Source organism: Homo sapiens, chromosome 1, assembly GCF_000001405.40.
Source record: "Homo sapiens chromosome 1, GRCh38.p14 Primary Assembly".
Taxonomy (NCBI): domain Eukaryota; kingdom Metazoa; phylum Chordata; class Mammalia; order Primates; family Hominidae; genus Homo; species Homo sapiens.
This window is the reverse complement of record NC_000001.11, coordinates 145,094,009-145,112,845: the sequence shown is the minus strand read 5'-3', so window position 1 is coordinate 145,112,845 and position 18,837 is coordinate 145,094,009. Positions and strand designations below refer to the sequence as shown.

Sequence of the window (18,837 nt, the reverse complement as noted above, 5' to 3'; positions counted from 1 at the left end):
TTCTCTCTGTCTCACCTGATTTACCAGTTTAAAAAAAAAGGAATAATAATGGTACCTACCTCATAGGTTTGTTGTGAGGAGTTAAACGTCTAAAGCACTTAGAACAGTGTCTGGCATATGGTAAGTATTCAATAAACATTAGCCTTATATTCTATACTTTAAGTACTATTTATTTATATTTTTACATACAATATGTGGGCATAACAAAAAATTAAAGGAAGAATGGTCATTTTTAGAAAAAACTTTATTTACAAAACCACAACTCAGTCTGCTTTGGTATTGACAAAATCCCTACAACTGAGATATTAAAGAGATACATTTATTTTAGAGTTACATAAAACCAGAATCCAACACTACCCTACTTTCCTATTCCTTTGTAGCTCTGAATGCAGCTTTAAAAAAACAAAACAAAGCAAAGCAAAGCAAAACAAAACAGCTCTTTATAATGTACAATGGCTTAAGCAAATCGCTTTAGTTTTTTTTTCTATTTAAGATTTAGGACAGACCACTCGTCTAAAATTCACTATTTACAGAGAAGGTCCTAGGGAACAGGATAACTTATTTAGGTTTAGCTCTCATAATACAATATCCATAATGGCTTTAGAAGAATGTAAATAAATAACATTGGTAAACAGCGTATACTGATATTTTCTGACAAACTCATTTATCTAACATCATGCTGAGCAATCAAGAGGATTCCTCTATATATTTTAAATTTTAATTTATTCTATTTCCTGATTCACAAACTCTTGCTCCATGTTAAAGCAGTTATCACCAATAGAACCTATGAGAACCAGTGCCCATGGAAACCTAACAGCTTGTTTTTTTAATCCCCTATTAAAACTCGGTTGAACTTGATATATGCATGGTTGAAATATGCGTGGGTACTAGGCCTTTATTCAGGAATGTAAAATTAATGGTATCTGGTATCAAGTTGTAAGAAAAACTCCCCCAGATTGGGAGGTAACTGAGTGATATGTGAAAGAATCTTCCCGTCTGAATTTAAGAATACACCTACACTGGGCAGAAAAAGGTGGGGGAGAGGAAGTAGAAGTAGAGGAAAAGCACAACTCCACTGGCTTCAATCAAACTGAGGTAACTAATTAGAGACAGAAAATAAATAAATCAACAAATGCCCCATTTTTGTTTTCCAAAAAAGATCACTGGCAACTAACAATTTTAAAGTTGATCCATTAATATATTTTTAAATAGAAAAAAGTTTGTATATCATATATATCATAATTCCATTTATCTAATACACTCCTCTGCTGAGATATTTAACACATCTTCATCTGTACTCTCTTCTATCTCTGGCAAGTTGCCCCGAAGTAGGACGTTTACACCTGAAAATAAAAAGTCATAAAATTCTTTAATGCTTACTACTGTTATAACTCAGAACACAAATTACGAAACTTTATATGTTAATATTCTTATGTAAACCATAGTGTTAGCAGTAAAAAGAGTAGCTATTGAAGAATGTACTGCAAATAAAATTACCTAATATTATCCATCTAGGACATAAACTTTATTTATTTATTTTGAGAGAAATTCTCTCTGTGTTGCCCAGGCTGGAGTGCCTGGCAGGATCACGGTTCACAATCACAGATCACTGCAGCCTGAACCTCCAGGGCTCAAGTGATCCTCCTACCTCAGCCTCCCAAGTCACTTGGACTACAGGCGTGTACTACCACACATGGCTAATTTTATTTTGTAGATACAGGTTCCCACTATGTTGCCCAGGCTAGTCTCAAACTCCTGGGCTCAAGCAATCCTCTCTCCTTGACCTCCCAAACTGTTGGGATTACAGGCATGAGCCACCATGCCTGGCAAACACTTTTTTTTAAAGGGCTAGGACATAAACATTCTTTAAATCCTTTTAAGCAAGGGCTTGAATTCTAGAATTTTACAGCTCAAAAGGCTCTCAGGAGTCCATTTACTCAAACTCTGCCTCCAGCTGCATTATAACATAATCACTATACACTGATAATTTTCTGATCTATTTTAATGATGTTTAAGAATGGAGATCTCACAAGATCCTTTTAGATTAAATGCCTCTTTGGAGGGTTCAGGGAGAAGTCCTGAATAAGTCTCCTCATCCCTTCAATAAGCAGAGAAGTAGCTGGTGCCATTTTTCTGATTCAGAAAAAAAGCAAGGGTTCGGAGCCAGTTATAATATGAACTGCAATCCTTGGTACCAGTGGGTTTCAGTCCACAGGCAGAGCTTTAAACTGAACTTTAGGGCCAGGTTGCAGCAGTCACTATAATAAACAAAAGAATAATCAAAAACTTCACTGAGAAAGAATAGTCAGATTTCATATTGAAGAATGAAGCACAGGTATACAGTAAATGACTAAACATACAGTAGAGGATAATGACAAGTTTATTACTCTGGGCATATATTACATTATTAGTTAAAAGCACTAAATGGAAAATAACTGACCTCTAGGATAGCCAATTAACTTCACAAGAAAAGCAAATCTTTTTTTTTTTCTTTTTGAGTCAGAGTCTCGCTCTATTGCCCAGGCTGGAGTCGAGTGGTGTAATCTTGGCTCACTGCAACCTCTGCCTCCCAGGTTCAAGTGATTCTCGTGCCTCAGCCTCCCGAGTAGCTGGGACTACAGGCGAATGCCACCATGCCTGGGTAATTTTTGTATTTTTAGTAGAGATGGGGTTTCACCACGTTGGTCAGGGTGGTCTTGAACTCCTGACCTCAGGTGATCCCCCTCGCCTCGGCCTCCCAAAGTGCTGGGATTACAGATGTGAGCCACCACACTTGGCCAGAAAAACAAATCTTAAGCTGTCCAGTTATCAGTGTGGACACAAAGAGGATCCAGCAATTCAGGATACCCACCCCATATACACTGAGATAGCAGCCACATGGCGGAATGGAATGAGCCAGGATTTGGAGATTTGGTTTGAATCCAGTGTTCACCACTGCTAGTACACCATGCATGGTTTTACTACAAATGCATGCAACATAGACAATATATATTACTGTTTAGTGGATTTAAATTTTGTATAGAATGTTATTACACTACATATTGTTTTCTAATTTGCTTTTTCACTCGTCATGTTTTTGAGGTTAATCCATGTTAACTTGTGTAGATTTCGCTCATTTATTTTTACTTCTGGAGAGTATTCCATTTTGTGAATTTTTAAAAATGTTGCAAATACAGCCCATTGCTCATCCCTTCCTCAGCTGCCCATCTTGCATAGGTGGTTCAAGGCGACATGCACAGGGATGTGTAGTGTGACATTGTTGAAACAGTAGAAATAATTAACTGTTTACCTTGACTGAGGGAGATACTGGAATCTAATCTGGCAAGAATTTAGCATGTATCTGATGCTGGTAGGGATACAGATGTGTATCTTATTATTTTCTATAATCTTTTCGTGTTTGAATTGTTTATAATAGAAAACGCTACCCCATCCCCACCCCCACCCTAAGAATGAATGGTGTTCTGCTCCAGGTAAATGTCATGGAAGAGCTGACAGGAAGAGCTGTAAGGAATTGCGAGGCAAAAATCAAAGTGAAAATTAGAACCCATAAATGTAAATGGAGGGCTGAAGCCATTTTGACTCTGAGGGCATTTGCCAATTTCAGGAAATTTGAGCTGAGGTTTCCCAAGGCTCCTCCAGAAAGTTCTGGGAAATCAGGTCTCTAAATGAAGACTAGCCTAGAAAACAGACCTCCAGGAGTCCTTTTCAGTTTAAACATTATAGAATTTATAAAGCTTGTCTATGCATTCCTTTGACACTGCTGGTTCAGGTGATTCAAGGACAGTTGTGGCGCCATTAGAAACTTGCTTTGATACCAAGCATCTAGAAAATCTTGCTTGAAATCACAATATTAGGGTTACAAAGCAGAAGCTTGATATTCTTGGAGTCAGTACTCAGAGACATGAAGCAGCTCAGCACAATTGGTTCAAAGGAGGAAAAATAAACTAAGAGATTGGATCTGACAGAAGCAGCACCTTCCTTTCTCTGTTAAGAAGGGAGGAAGGAAATCCTGTGATACATCTGTTTCTTATGGATTAGATTCAGTGCAAATGGAAGAATGCGGGGCTTTTATCTTTGAAAAATTGACCAATATTAAAAAGTAAATCAAACTTGAAAAATCTCCACCCTGTGTTTTGAATTCTGTAAAGCAGGAAAAATACTATCAAAGCAGAAACTTCCTTTAATGTGTCCCATGGGCAACACAAATATAAAACTGGAGGCTTAAATTAGGAGACTGTATCCCACTTAGGGGAGTTCAGATAAGTCCTTACATGAAAATGGCCTTCTTAACATACCAAAGTTTTAAATTAAGACCCCATAAATGATAGATTGAGAGCCACAGTTGAGTCCCAGATAAAAAAATCAAATCTACAAAAATCTAAGCATAATTGGAGGATTTAAAGACCCTTGACAACCTAGCTTGCAATTCGTGATCTTTTGGTCTGTGAAGGCAAATCATATATTTAAAAAATACATTTAAGTTCTAAAGGAGACTAAAACATGCATTTAGGAACCTAAGAATGCTAGTGTCAACTTAGATTGTCAAGTTACTTAAAGTCGGCTGGCGAGGTGTCTCAGGCCTGTAATCCCAGCCCTTTGGAGGCCAAGGTGGGCAGATCACTTGAGGACAGGAGTTCGAGACCAGCCTGGGCAAAATGGCAAAAACTGGTCTCTATGAAAAATACAAAAAATTAGACAGGGATGGTGGCACACACCTGTGGTCCCACCTATTGAGAAGGCTGAGGTGGAAGAATGGCTTGAGCCTGGGAGGTCGAGGCTGCAGTGAGCCAAGATTGTGCCACTACACTCCAGCCTGGGTGACAGAGCAAGACCCTGTCTCCAAAAAAAAAAAAAAAGTTCCTTAAAATCAACTTGGTCTGTTGTGTAAATAGATGTTAGACATGGAGAACATGTGTCTTATAACAAAACTCAATGGCTCCAGGCAATATAAAAAGTATTATATAAATCCCCTTTAAAAATTGGTACTTTGGCCGGTGCAGTGGCTCACACCTGTAATCCCAGCACTTTGGGAGGCTGAGGTGGGCGGATCACCTGAGGTCAGGAGGTCGAGACCAGCCTGGGCAACATGGCAAAACCCCGTCCCTACTAAAAATACAAAAATTAGCCAGGTGTAGTGGTGCGCACCTATAATCCCAGCCACTCAGAAGGCTGAGGCAGGAGAATCACTTGAACCCGGGAGGTGGAGGTTGCGGTGAGCCGAGATCACGCCACTGCTCTCCAGCCTGGGTGACAGAATGACTCCATCTCAAAAAAAAAAAAAAAAAAAAGGTACTTCAGGCCAGGCATGGTGACTCACGTCTGTAATCCCATGTAATCCCAGCACTTTGGGAGGCTGAGGCAGGCGGATCCCCTGAGGTCAGGTGTTCAAGACCAGCCTGACCAACATGGTGAAACCCTGTCTCTACTAAAAATACAAAAAAATTAGCTGGGCGTATGCCTGTAATCTCGCTACTCGGGAGGCTGAGGCACGAGAATCGCTTGAACCCGGGAGGCAGAGGCTGCCATGAGCCAAGATGACACCATTGCACATCAGCCTGGGAAACAAGAGTGAAACTCTGTCTCAAAAAAAAAAAAAAAAGAATTAGTATTTCAGTGCCTCAGCACCTTAACACAAGGAAAAAGAAATTTTTTTTTTTAAAAGAATTGGTAGTGTACTTTCTTACTAAAATAATTTTTTTTTTTTTTTTTTTTGAGACAGGGTCTCACTCTGTTGCCCAGGCTGGAGTGCAGCGGTGCCACCTCGGCTTACTGCAACCTCCACCTCCTAGGTTCAAGGGGGGTTTCATCATATTGGCCAGGCTGGTCTCGAACCCCTGACCTCAAGTGATCATCTGTCTTGGCCTCCCAAAGTGTGGGATTACAGGTGTGAGCCACCATGCCTGGCCTTGCTAAAATAATTAGTATAAGCATACCTCAATTGTGCTTTAGTTTATTGTACACCATAGACACTGGGCTTTATATAAATGGAAGGTTTTGGCAATCCTGCATTGAGTAAGTCTAACAGCATATGCTTACCTTGTGTCTGTTACATTTTGATAATTCTCTCAATATTTCAACCTTTTTCATTATTATTATATATATTATGGTGATCTGTGATCTTTGATGTTACTGTTATAATTGTTTCAGGGTGCTATGAACCACACCCACTTAAGACCACACCCACTTAAGACTGCAAACTTAATCGATAAATATTTTGTGTGTTCTGACTGCTCCACTGACCAGCTGTTCTCGCTCTCTTTCCTGGGGCCTCCCTATTTCCTAAGATACAACAATATTGAAATTGGGCCAGTTAATATCCCTACAATGACCTCTAAGTGTTCAAGTGAAAGAGAGTGGCATGTCTCTCACTGTAAATCAAAAGCTAGAAATGATTAAGCATAGTGAGGAAGACATATTGAAAGCTGAGACAGGCTGAAAGTTGGGCCTTTTATGCCCAATTGTTAGCCAACTTGTGACTGCAAAGAAAAGTTCTTAAAGGACATAAGAAGTGCTACTCCAGTGAAAACAAGAATAAAAAAGTGAAATAGCCTTATTGCTGATATGGAGAAAGTTTTAGTGACCTAGATAGAGGATTAAACCAGCCATGATATTCTCTTAAGCGAAAACCTAATCCAGAGCTAGGTCTTAACTCTCTGCAATTCTATGAAGGGCAAGAAAGTTGAGGAAACTGTAGAAGAAAGTTTGAAGCTAGCAGAGGTTGGTTTATAAAGTTTAAGGAAAGAAGCCATTTCTATAACATACAAGTTCAGGTGAAGCAAAAAGTGCAGATGTAGAAGCTGCAGCAAGTTATCCAGAAGATCTAGCTAAGATTATGGATGAAGGTGGCTACACTAAACAACAGATTTTTCTTTTCTTTTCTTTTTTTTTTTTTTGAGATGGAGTTTCACTTTTGTTGCCCAGGCTGGAGTGCAATGGCGTGATCTTGGCTCACCGCAACCTCCGCCTCCCGGGTTCAAGCCATTCTCCTGCCTTAGCCTCCCAAGTAGCTGGGATTATAGGCATGCGCCACCATGCCCAGCTAATTTTGTATTTTTAGTAGAGACGGGGTTTCTCCATGTTGGTCAGGCTGGTCTCGAACTCCCAACCTCAGGTGATCTGCCCGCCTTGGCCTCCCAAACTGCTGGGATTACAGGCGTGAGCCACCGCGCCCGGCCTCTTATTCCTTTTTTTTTTCAGATGGAGTTCCACTCTTGGTGCAATGGTGCGATCTCGGCTCACTTCAAACTCCACCTCCTGGGTTCAAGTGATTCTTCTGCCTCAGTCCCCCAAGTAGCTGGGCATGTACCACCACGCCCAGCTAATTTTTTATTTTTAGTAGAGGCAGAGTTCTACTATATTGGTCAGGCTGGTCTTAAACTCCTGACCTCAGGTGATCCATCCACCTCGGCCTCCCAAAGTCCTGGGATTATAGGCGTGAACCACTGCATCCGGCAGAGATTTTTAATATACACAAAACAGCCTTCTATTGGAAGGAGATGCCATCTAGGACTTTCATAGCTAGAGAGGAGAAGTAATACTTGGCTTCAAAGCTTCAAAGGACAGGCTGAATCTCTTGTTAGAGGATAATGCAGCTGGTGACTTTAAGTTGAATCCAATGCTCATTTACTGTTCCGAAATTTCTAGGGTTCTTAGGAATTATGCCAAATATACTTTGCCTGTGCGCTGTCAATGAAACAACAAAGCCTGGACGACAGCAAATCTGTTTACAGCATGTTTTACTAACTATTTTAAGCCCATTGTTAAGACCTACTGCTCAGAAAAATCCCTTTGAAAATATTACTGTTCATTGACAATGCACCTAGTCACTCAAGAGCTCTGATGGCATTGTACAAGGAGATAAATATTGCTTTAATGCCTTAACATAACATCTATTTGGCAGCCCATGGATCAAGAAGTAATTTAATCTTTCAAGTCTTATTATTTAAGAGATAGATTTCATAAGGCTATAGCTGCCATAGATAGTAATTCTTCTGATGGATCTGGGCAAAGTACATTGAAAACCTGGAAAAGCACATTCCTGATTCATGGGAGGAGGTCAAAATATCAGTCTTAACAGGAGTTTGAAAGAAGTTGATTCCAACCCTCATGGGTAACTTTGAGAGGTTTTAGACTTCAGTGGAGGAAGTAACTGCAGATGTGGTAGAAATAGCAAGAAAACTACACTTAGAAATGGAGCCTGAAGACGTGACTGCATTGCTGCAATCTCATGATGAAACTTTAATGGATGAAGAGTTGCTTTTTATGGATGAGCAAAGAAAATGGTTTCTTGAGGTGAAATCTACTCTTGATGAAGATGCTGTAAATATTGTTGAAATGAAAACAAAGGATTTAGAATATTACATAAACATAGTTGGTAAAGTAGTAGCAGAATTTGAGAGGATTGACTCCAATTTTGAAAGAGGTTCTACTATGTGTAAAATTCTATCAAATGACATCACATGCTACAGAGAAATCTTTTGTGAAAGGAAGAGTCAATCCATGCGGCAAACCTCATTGTTGTCTTATTTTAAGAAACTGCCACAGCCATCCTAACCTCCAGCAACCACCACCCTGATCAGTTTGCAGTCATCAACATCAAGGCAAGACCCTCCACCAGCAAAAAGATTATGACTTGCTGAAGGTTCAGATGATCATTAGCAGTTTTTAGCAATAAAGCATTTTTTTTTTCTTTTTTGAGACAGGGTCTCATATTGTTGCCCAGGCTGAAATGCACTGGCATGATCACAGCTCACTGCAGCCTCTACCTCCCAAATTCAAGTGATCCTCCCACCTCAGCCTCCTGGGTAGCTGGGACGATAGTATGCCCCACGATGCCTGGATAATTTTTGTATTTTTTTTGTAGAGATGAGGTCTCAGCATGCTGCCCAGGCTGGTCTCAAACTCCTGGGCTCAAGTGATCCTCCCGCCTTGGACTACCAAAGTGCTGGGATTACAGGCATGAGCCACTGCTCTCGGCCGAATAAGTATTTTTTGATTAAGGTATGCACGTTGTTTTTTAAATGTCCTGCTATTGCACACTTAATAGACTACAATATATTGTAAACATAACTTTTATACACACTGGGAAACCAAAAAATTGTGTGACTTGCTTTAATTGTGATATTTGCTTGCTTTATTATGGTGGTCTGGAATTGAACCTACAATATCTCCACTTGTGCCTGTACAACATACTTTATACTTTGGTGTCAAATATTTCCCTTGACTAAAATTCTGTCATAACGTATTAACATAGATGTCGAAATGTCTGTTTTTATTCTGAAGCATCACCAAATACAGAGGTTACTTAGTCCTCCTCCTCTCAACTCCCATTGCCCTAGGCCTGGCCTCTCCCTTTCTTACACACACACACAGACACACACATGCATTAGACTATCAAATCTAAAATCTTCAAAAATTCTCTGGAGTCAGAATATGTATCAAGGCAGCAGTTAAGAGCAATTATAATATTCATTTTAAAAGACCAAGAAATTCAGCCAAGTTTGAGGCCTTAAGTACAAGGATGAACATAGAAATGACAATGAATTTTGCCTAATAGTTTTCATAAGTGAATGTCTGGGAAAAAAGAATTGAAGTTTCACTCTAGCTAATCCAGCTAAGAAGATCTAAAAGGAATCCTGAAATGATCTATTGGGAATTTTACTCAGGTATTGATAGAGAAATGTTACAGGAATGTCCAAGTCAATTGTTTCTTACCTGTGGAGTCTAGTCTGTTAATATCATAAACTGCCTGGCTGTGAAACATCCAGAAGTGTCTGTTGTTGCAGGAAAGAAGACAGGAACTACATGGAACAATCACATGATAACCTACAATGTTCCCACTAGAAAAGAAAGTAAATGTTACTAGATACCATGTAATAACTAGCCAGATAAGTCTTTTCATATTGCTTATATAAATAGACCATATAATTTAGATCTCATTTCCTAACAACTTTCATTGCTGAGATCTTTGGGATGGGATGGGGGTGCAGTTCTACCATCAAGTGGGAAAGCAGTCTTTAAGTGAATAATAGTAAAATATTCTCACATTTCTTTGCTATTATTATTATTATTATTATTATTATTATTATTATTATTATTGAGACCGAGTTTTGCTCTTGTCACCCAGGCTGGAGTGCCTGCAACCTCCGCCTCCCAGGTTCAAGTGATTCTCCTGCCTCAGCCTCCAGAATAGCTGGGATTACAGGCGTGTGCCACCATGCCCAGCTAACTTTTGTGTTATTAGTAGAGATGGGGTTTTACCATGTTGGCCAGGCTGGTCTCGAACTCCTGACCTCAGGTGATCCACCTGCCTTGGCCTCCCAAAGTGCTGGGATTACAGGCATGAGCCACCATGCTTGTCCTGCTAGTATTATTTTATGCATTCTCCCTTCAGAAGTTAGCTTCTAGATGCCATAATGTTGTGATTTGTTTTATAAACCACCCAAATTGATGTGCTGTACAGACAAAATAAATTAAATTAACTCAGTTCTGTGGGTAAAGGTTTTTGCTATCCCAGGACTGTGGCAAGTTGGGTTCTTACATGTTCTAGTTTCATGCCAGCACCTAAAAACTGTTTCAACAGATGGAGAGGTAGGAAGACAGCATGAGTCCCTGTAAACCAAATACAATCTGGCTGCTCTAATTTTAGTCTCAGTGTTTTTGAAGGAACTCAGAAATAAAGCAATCTACAGCCTCCAGAGAAAGTTGCAAAAGTTTTTACAGTTTTCAGAATTATCCAGCTGATTATAAGTACCTCAGTCTTTCACATTTTTTTTTTTTAACTAGCTAGTCACATATTAAATAGAGTGAACCTACAGGGAATGTTTTAGCTAGTACTTTAAAAAAAATAGCAACATGAACTGTTTATACCTTGAGTTGTAAAAATTCTTATTCAAGCTTAGTCTTACTCTGTGAGATTTGTGAGTCAGTCATTTTTATGAGACCCAATAAAGATTACTATAAAAGGTACCATTCCACCTAAAATATGTCTTCTAATTATAACTTGCTTGAAAGGCAAACAAATGAAAACAAAAGTTGTGTTTGGACTAGGAGTGCCAGTTATTTGTAAGACTATATTGCAAAAGTAAATTCCATGACTTTAATTACCGCCTATATTCATTCATTCATCCATTGATTCATCACTTAAACTAACATTTATTGAGTATCTGCTGTCTTTCAGGCACTGCTCTAGGTGCTAGGAATACACTGGTAAACAAAACAAAGCCCTTGTTGTCACGGAGCTAACAGTCTAGCGAGGCTACATCAGATCATTCTGCTCCCTGGTTAAAACCTCTTCAATAGCCAAAAATGAAAATAAAAACCTTTCCATACCAAGGTCCAGATCTATGCTGTCAAGAATAATAGCCACTAGCCACATGTGGCTGTTGTACACTTGCAGTGGGGCTGGCCTGAATTGAGATGTGCTGTTAAGTGTAAAATGTACACCAGATTTCAAAGAGTAAGACCAAAAAATGGAATATAAAATATTACATTAGTAGTTTATGTTGGTTACATGTTGAAATAATATTTTGGATACATTGGGTTAGACAAAATATATGATTAAAATTAACTTTCCTGTTTTGGTTTTCTTTTGAAAATGTTGTTCTTCGGGTGCGGTGGCTCATGCCTGTAATCCCAGCACTTTGGGAGGCTGAGGCGGGTGGATCACTTGAGGTCAGGAGTTCGAGACCAGCCTGGCCAACATGGCGAAACCCCACCTCTACTAAAAATACGAAAATTAACTGGGCATGGTGGCATGTGCCTGTAGTCCCAGCTACTCGGGAGGCAGAGGTGAGAGAATCACTTGAACCCAGAAGACGGAGGTTTCAGTGAGCCAAGATGATGCCATTGCACTCCAGCCTGGGCAACAGAGCAAGACTCCGTCTCAAAACAAAACAAAAAAAATGTCGTTGCCCAGGTGCGGTGGCTCACACCTGTAATCTCACACTTTGGGAGGCCGAGGCAGGTGGATCACTTGAGGTCAGGAGTTTGAGACCAGCCTGGCTAACATGGCGAAATCCTGTCTCTACTAAAAATACAAAAATTAGCCGGGTGGGCTGGGTGCGGTGGCTCACGCCTGTAATCCTAGCACTTAGGGAGGCCAAGGCAGGCGGACTGCCTGAGCTCAGGAGTTTGAGAGCAGCCTGGGCAACACGGTGAAACCCTGTCTCTACTAAAATATGAAAAATTAGCTGGGCATGGTGGTGCGTGCCTGTAGTCTCAGCTACTCAGGAGGCTGAGGCAGGAGATTCGCTTGAACCTGGGAGGCGGAGGTTGCAGTAAGCTGAGATCGTGCCACTGCACTCTAGCCTGGGCGACAGAGCAAAACTCCGTCTTAAAAAAAAAAAAAAAAAAAGAAAGAAGAAAATAATGTCCAAAGGCCAGTGACTTCATCTAGTTTTTGTTGTATTTCCAGCCCTTGTAACAATGACTACCACATACTAGTTCCTCAATACAAGTATAGCTTAAATAAAGGAATGAAATCAAATAGCACATAAGAAGAGCTTGCCAATTTAAATTATTAGGATTGTCATTTATAATACAAACCCCTTCTAAATACAAACCCCATCTAAATGAGAAAATTTCAACTTTTATCCTCCTAAAATGAAAATAATAACACGTCTACTTCTCAAAAGATTATAGTAATAGCTCTCAGCTGTTGTAATTTATAGTTTATTGAGCACTTTAACATTCATATTTGCTCTTTATAATAACTTGATAAGGTAAACACAGAAGATTATTAAATTTCTATCTTAATAAGACAGAATGGCTGGGTGGGGTGGCTCATGCCTGTAATCCCAGCACTTTGGCAGGCTGAGGCAGGCGGATCACCTGAGGTTGGGAGTTCAAGAGCAGCCTGACCAACATGGAGAAATCCTGTCTCTACTAAAAAAAAAAAAAAAAAAATTAGCTGGGCATGGTGGTGCGTGCATGTAATCCCAGCTACTCAGGAGGCTGAGGCAGGAGAATCACTTGAACCTGGGAGGTGGAGGTTGTGGTGAGCTTAGATCGCGCCATTGCACTCCAGCCTTGGCAACAAGAGCAAAAACTCCTTCTCAAAAAAAGAAAGAAAGAAAGAAATTAAGGTAGGATGCAGTGGCTCATACCTGTAATCCCAGCCTTTTGGGAAGCTGAGGAGAGAGGATCACTTGAGGCCAGGAGTTTGAGATCAGCCTGGGCAACATAGCAAGACCCTATTGCTACAAAAATAAAAAACTTAGCCAGGCCTGGTGGTGCCTGCCTGTAGTCCCAGCTACTCAGGAGGCTGAGGTAGGAGAATCACTTGAGCCCAGGAGTTCAAGGCTACAGTGAGCTATGATCATGCCACTGCACTCCAGCCTGAGCAACAGTATGAGACCCCTCTAAAAACAAAGAAAGAAGGAGTAATAACCTAGAAATTAAATAAGAAAACAGAGGTTCAGCAGTTTAGAGGCTAAAGGAGTTCACTCAAGGTCACATAGAGAGTAAGGGTAGGGTCAGACCTCAAACATGATTTTTATTATTGTAAATCCAGGTGTTTCTCCCCCCTAACCTACATTGCCTTGTTCTGAAAATTGAAGCGGATACTGTGAATACACTTTGAAAACTGTAAAATTATATACTAATGTGAAGCATCAGAAAACCCTTTTAAAAAATAGCTCTAAGTAATAAGTAATTTTTCAATGGCTCATTGCATGCTTTATACCAGTCCTTGTTGCAGCCCACTGAACCTTTCTCTATGCTTTGGTGTCAATATCCATCTTCCAAACCCAGAGCTATCCAGAATAGTGCCACAAATTACCATTTTAAACATGCGATGTCCTTCAGTTTACATTTGCAGATTTTGGTGAAATAGCATCTTCCAGTGAAGTCCACTGCGCTGGAGAGAGAAAGGTATAAAAAGACAGTCAGATGTACTTTACAAAAAATTTAATTGTGGCAAAAAATTAACAAAATTTACCAACTTAACAAGTTTTATGTGTGCAGAGCAGATGTGTTAAATATAATCACATTGCTGTGTAATGAATCTCCTGGGTTCAAGTGACCCTCCTACCAGAGTTTCCTGAGTAGGTGGAACTATAGGCGCCCTATACCACATTTTGTTTATCTGTTCATCTGTAGAATCAATGGACATTTGGATTGCTTCCACCTCTTGGCTATTGTGAATAATGCTGTTAATGAACATGGGTGTGCAAATATCTCTTCCAAGATCCAGTTTTGAATTCTTTTGGATATGTACCCAGAACTGCTGGATCAGATAGTAATTCTACGCTTGATTTAGCACAAATTTTGTCAATCCAAAGAGCTGAAAGCTAACATAGAAGTATAGTATATTTTTAAAGAGTCAGTTCATATTTGTGAGCTCAACATAAACATCTGACAAATTTTCCATTAAAAAAATTTTTATGTGTTCATTGATTCACATACATCTTAGCACGCTAATTCATTATTATTTTAACCCCTACAAAGAAGGGTAGAAAATAGGAAAAACATGATTCTATTCTAGACTTGGGTCTAACCTGTAACAATTCACCTAGCCTTCCTTATGACTGCCCTATTACTTACCATAGCTATTGCAAAGATGAATGGGTTAATATTTTAAATTTGTGTATGAGCTACTAAAAAGAAAAAGCAGTGGACAATGAATCACAGAACTTTGTAGCAGTAGGTTCTATGATTTATTTTCTAGTGTTTTCCCTTTTTTGAAATACATATACGATGTACACACACACAAATGTAAAATATTAACTTAGAATTTAAAAAAATTAAAAAGATTTTAAAATAACACATTTATCTCTGCAATAAATGAGAGCCTTTGGCTTTGCTGTTAGACGTGATTACACTTAGACCAATTCAGAAAAGATTTCAAGAAAGGAAGAGTACACAGCTTTACCTGGGTAAATCAAAAAACTTGTAAAGTTTCTATCATTATCATGAAATTCATTTAAAATGAATTGTGGTTATTAACCTGCTTCCTCTGGCTCTATATCCAAAGACTTAGAGAATAACTGTCCACTCATATTTTGGATAATTACTTTCCTTTTAATAATAAAATTTCAATAAATAACTAAATTTTGAAGATTCATGTAGGGCATATATATGTTGATTATGGAAAGGGAAAGTACCATTTAGAGCTAGAAAGAGGTTTATTTGAGTCAAATAAAATGGCTATTTTACCAAATAGGAAGCAAATTCTTAAGGACTCTACACCCAAAAGCAGTTAGTGGCTGAAAACAAACAGATTTTAAAAGGGTTCAATTATGGGAACAAATGTGTAATGTCCAAAATAGTCTTTATTGGAGATAAGGATTAAGGCTAAGTCTCTATTTTTCATCCCATAAAAATCTATTTACATCTCTTTCAGAGAGAGAGAGTTTTGAGGAAAGAAAACTGAATTTGATGAACAACGGATCTGATTTAGGATGCCAATTGCAAATAATGATAGAAAACGGATTTTTTTTTTTTGGTGCAAAATTTCATGGATAAAAATGAAAAACTTAAATGACCTCTCCTCTCCAACAGTACAGAAAATTTTGCCTGAATTTACCTAAAGTCTACGCCACGGACTTGATTCAGTGAAATAGGATGGTTGGGCAGGGCACTGAACCAGGGATCAAACTTAAGAGATGTGTGGTCGCATGACTGCAATTGAACTAGAAGCATTACATCAGGACTGACCACCTTGGCTAAACCATAGACTTTGTCCAGACAGTCTGCCCACTTAGATATATTACAAGGGGATCATCAAACTGGTGGGAGTGGCTGAAACACCGAAATGATAACCTCCTTGTTGACTCCCACAGATCCAAGCCATAAGTGTTCCCATTTAGTTAAAAGCTACCGTTGCCCGCCACTAGCATGACTTACTTGGTAGGAGGGATGTCTGTAGAGAAAAGGTCTATTTCAGTATCAGCCAGCAAAACAGCCTTCATTCCCCTAGAGCTGAGCACTTGTTTACAGAATTTGCAACACAGGATGGACACGCACCTGTCCTTGAAACTACAAATGTTGGTGGACATGGCGTCGCAGGAAGGATGAGGTGTGGGATTTTGAAAAAGGAAACAAGAGTAATGCTCCTACTATTTTGATTCCCCTAGGCTAAAATTCAAATTGCGGGACCTAGAGCTTTTCTAAGTCCTAATATTGGGAAGGAAATTAGTTTTTTTTTCTGTTTTCCCGGTGGCGGAGTAGAAGAAGTATTTATTGAGTAGGAACAGGGGAGCGTGGTAAACTTGGCTTTCCTTTTAACTTTTGGAGAAGGGAGTGGAGTTTGAATTGGAGAGGAGGCAGGTGGAGTTTGAAGGGAACTTCTCAACGGCTTTCCCTTTCTGCTGTCTAAAGGAGTCCTCTACACTTCAGCTCCCGCCCCTTCATAGCAATTCCCTCAGCCTTCTCCGATCGTCTAATTTAAAGCTTCTCCTCTTTTAAGACATCCCTTCCCCAGCATTAAGCCCCTCCCCCGGAGCGCTCCGGTTCCCTGCTGTCGGATCTCGGGCTAAGCGTCCCTACCCACGCCTCCTCTTCCCAGGATTCAGAAACTCCCTTCTCTTTTTCTGCCAGGCGATCCCGGATTCTCCTCCGTCCCGCCCCTTTTCTCCCGGACCTTCCTCCGCTCTGCGGGTCCGCGGGCCCCTCTCCTGGCAACCCCCGGCCCTCAGCGTGCTCGCGCTGTTTCTCTCGCGTCCTCCCTTCCCTCAGCTGTCCCTCGTGCCCCCCGCAGTCCCCTCAGGTTTCTTCCCGGAGCGGCTGTTCCCGGGCGCGCGGTGGTGTTGGTGGGGCAGAGCTGAAGTCGCTTTAGAGGCTCAGTCGGCGCTGGGGTCTGTCACCGAACACGTTGGTTTTCGCTCCCTCTTCCGCTTTTCCTGCCTCTCCAACCCGGTATCAGTTTGAATTGCCAGCGCCGCGCACCGATTGGAAGAACTAGAGTTAGCCCCAGTCCCTCATTGGAAGGCTCCGGGGCCTCCCCTCACGAGAGCTTAGTGGCTTGAAGACCGTAGGCACCGCCCCAGTAACGGTGCTGAGATCAATTCGGCTTTCTGGTCGGCTGAGCTTGGCTCCGCCTCCGATCTCATTGGCCGGCTTCGGGAGGTTTCGGCAAACCCTGCTTTAGCCCTAGTGAAAGTGGCAAGGCACGCCCTTCCCGCTTCTTATTGGAAGAGGGTCTACAGTCTCCACCGGTCTCTACTCTTTATTGGTTAAAATTCCCCGCAACACCCCTCCTCTCTACCCCGGCCCAATTGGCCGTGCCTCAGCTCAAGAGTTTGTGTTTGGTCGTCGGTTCCACCTTAATCCCGCCCATCAGTTCTACTTAGGGGTTCAACAACCCGGGGTGGAGCTTAATCTGTGACCACGCCTCGGCAGTGCTAGTCACACCTCCAAGTTTTGCCAGCTCCTCCCCCTCATTCCGGGCCTCTCGGGATCAGCTCTTCCTATTGGCTATGGGCCCCATCGGTCGATAGAAAACGGGCGGTGATTGGTAAAGGGGTGGGCTCTACTTCCCGGCGGGGTCCTGCGGAGTTGGCGGAGGCTCCTCCAGGGACTGGGGCACAGATCTGCGTAGAAACGGGTGGCGGGGAAGAGAGGGGAGGAGAGCTCTGAGTGGGAAGCGGAGCCGGGGGCCTGGGACCCGTCGCGTCAGAGCCAGGTAAAGGCTCCTTCCCTCTTCCTTTTCTTCCTCCCGGCCGCCGGGCTGGAGCCCTGACTGAACAAACCCGGGCTGGGGCGGGAAGGAGAGGGCGCGGATGCTGCTCGCGGCATCGCCTTAGCGGTGCCGCCCGGAATCCCTCAGACCGCCCCTCCTCCACCCTCTCCAAATCTCCCAGTACAGCCCATAATACTTCTCAGGACTGCGAGTCTCTCCGCCCATCACTGTACAGCCTGGGACTCTGTCCTGGCTCACGGACCGCAGCGCAGCCGGCACCCAGCCGCCTCTCCCTTTCCTCCGCACACGGGCAGCCGCGGTCCACCGTAGGGCAGTCGTCGTTGGCATCGCGCGTAATCATCGGCCGGCCTCCTCCAGTGTCTCCCAGCCCTGGCGGACAGCCCGGGTCCCAGCCTAGGACCCAGGAGGATGGGTGTTCCGCGCAGCTTCCGGGGCTCTCCCCGAGTCCCACCCCCCGGCCCGCCCCGATGGACTTCTCTTCGCCCACTCCCATCCCTAGACCACATCTCGGCCCCCACAGTTCCTGACATCCTTGCGCTTCACGCAACATCGCGGCCCATGATCATGCCCCAATTCCCCTCACCTCTAAGGCAGCCTTCTCCTTGCCGCCTCCCGCCTTCCGAGCGTGTGCAACTCCAGTTGTCCCCGGGCTCCCTTCCAGCCTCAGGACCCCATCTCACACCCGCCTCTCGCTTCCCGCTTCCCGCTCGCCTGAACCCCGCCGCCTCTGCTCCCTGTCTTGTTCCCTCAGCGTGGCCCCTTCCTCCAGCCGCGGGAAGTGGGAGACGCTAGCGGGAGCTTCCTCCTCCCGGCGCTCGGAGGAAAAGGAAAGACCAAGTAGAAAGGGTCGCCGCTGCGGCACGCGAGGGAGCTAGTCGCCGGGCTCCGCGCTCCCGCTTGCGTCCCTCCAGCCCCCTGGGCCTCGTCCGGGGCCGGATCTTCTCGGGCACCGCCTGGTGCGAGGAGTCAGGACTGCGACCTCACCGACCTCCTCCCATCCCCAGCCTGGGATTGGGTGGGATATCTGGGATCTCTGAGCTTGGGTGTCAAAAAAATATTGGGGGTGGCATTTATAGTCACTATCGTCCCTAGCTTGAGGGAGGCGACGGCTGCCTTCCGCTCGCCGCCCCCCGGTTTTCCCGGCTCCGACCCTATCCTCTAACCCGTTTCCTGCTTCAGCTGACCACATTGTTTTC

At 42.6% G+C, this 18,837-nt stretch overlaps 2 protein-coding genes across 19 annotated transcripts in view, besides 2 other annotated features; one reads left to right on the top strand and one right to left on the bottom strand.

The window, feature by feature from the left end:
* Positions 1-149: 149 nt before the first annotated feature.
* Positions 150-18,550, bottom strand: FAM72D (family with sequence similarity 72 member D). 10 transcript variants are annotated; one of them, XM_047429806.1, is made up of 5 exons: positions 18,225-18,550; positions 15,847-18,034; positions 13,781-13,858; positions 9,715-9,839; positions 150-1,343 (listed from the first exon to the last, which is right to left on the bottom strand). In XM_047429806.1, exons 2-5 carry the CDS (start codon positions 15,996-15,998, stop codon positions 1,249-1,251), a joined length of 450 nt encoding a protein of 149 aa, XP_047285762.1. In that variant the 5' UTR covers positions 15,999-18,034; positions 18,225-18,550; the 3' UTR covers positions 150-1,248. The 10 variants fall into 10 exon arrangements, 9 of the variants coding, with proteins under 9 accessions (XP_047285762.1, XP_011508264.1, XP_047285765.1 ...); XM_011509962.4 differs by having other exon boundaries at positions 17,817-18,034; XM_047429809.1 differs by having other exon boundaries at positions 15,847-17,531.
* Positions 16,048-16,615: an enhancer, noted in NCBI's record as "H3K27ac hESC enhancer chr1:143912345-143912912 (GRCh37/hg19 assembly coordinates)". NCBI's record gives its function as "activates a minimal SCP1, AML or CMV promoter by ChIP-STARR-seq in primed H9 embryonic stem cells {active_cell/tissue: H9 hESC(primed)}" and the evidence as "EXISTENCE:reporter gene assay evidence [ECO:0000049][PMID:30033119]".
* Positions 17,290-17,792: an enhancer, noted in NCBI's record as "H3K27ac hESC enhancer chr1:143913587-143914089 (GRCh37/hg19 assembly coordinates)". NCBI's record gives its function as "activates a minimal SCP1, AML or CMV promoter by ChIP-STARR-seq in naive H9 embryonic stem cells {active_cell/tissue: H9 hESC(naive)}" and the evidence as "EXISTENCE:reporter gene assay evidence [ECO:0000049][PMID:30033119]".
* SRGAP2B (SLIT-ROBO Rho GTPase activating protein 2B) overlaps positions 17,466-18,837 on the top strand; it is a 208,093-nt gene continuing 206,721 nt past the window's right edge. For 8 of the 9 annotated variants that reach the window (XM_005277421.5, NM_001385227.1, NM_001366280.2 and 5 more), the window contains exon 1: positions 17,466-17,623. The gene's annotated coding sequence lies outside the window, so the exon portion shown is untranslated. The remainder of the gene's footprint in view (positions 17,624-18,837) is intronic. The other variant, NM_001271870.5, reaches the window with a different exon arrangement.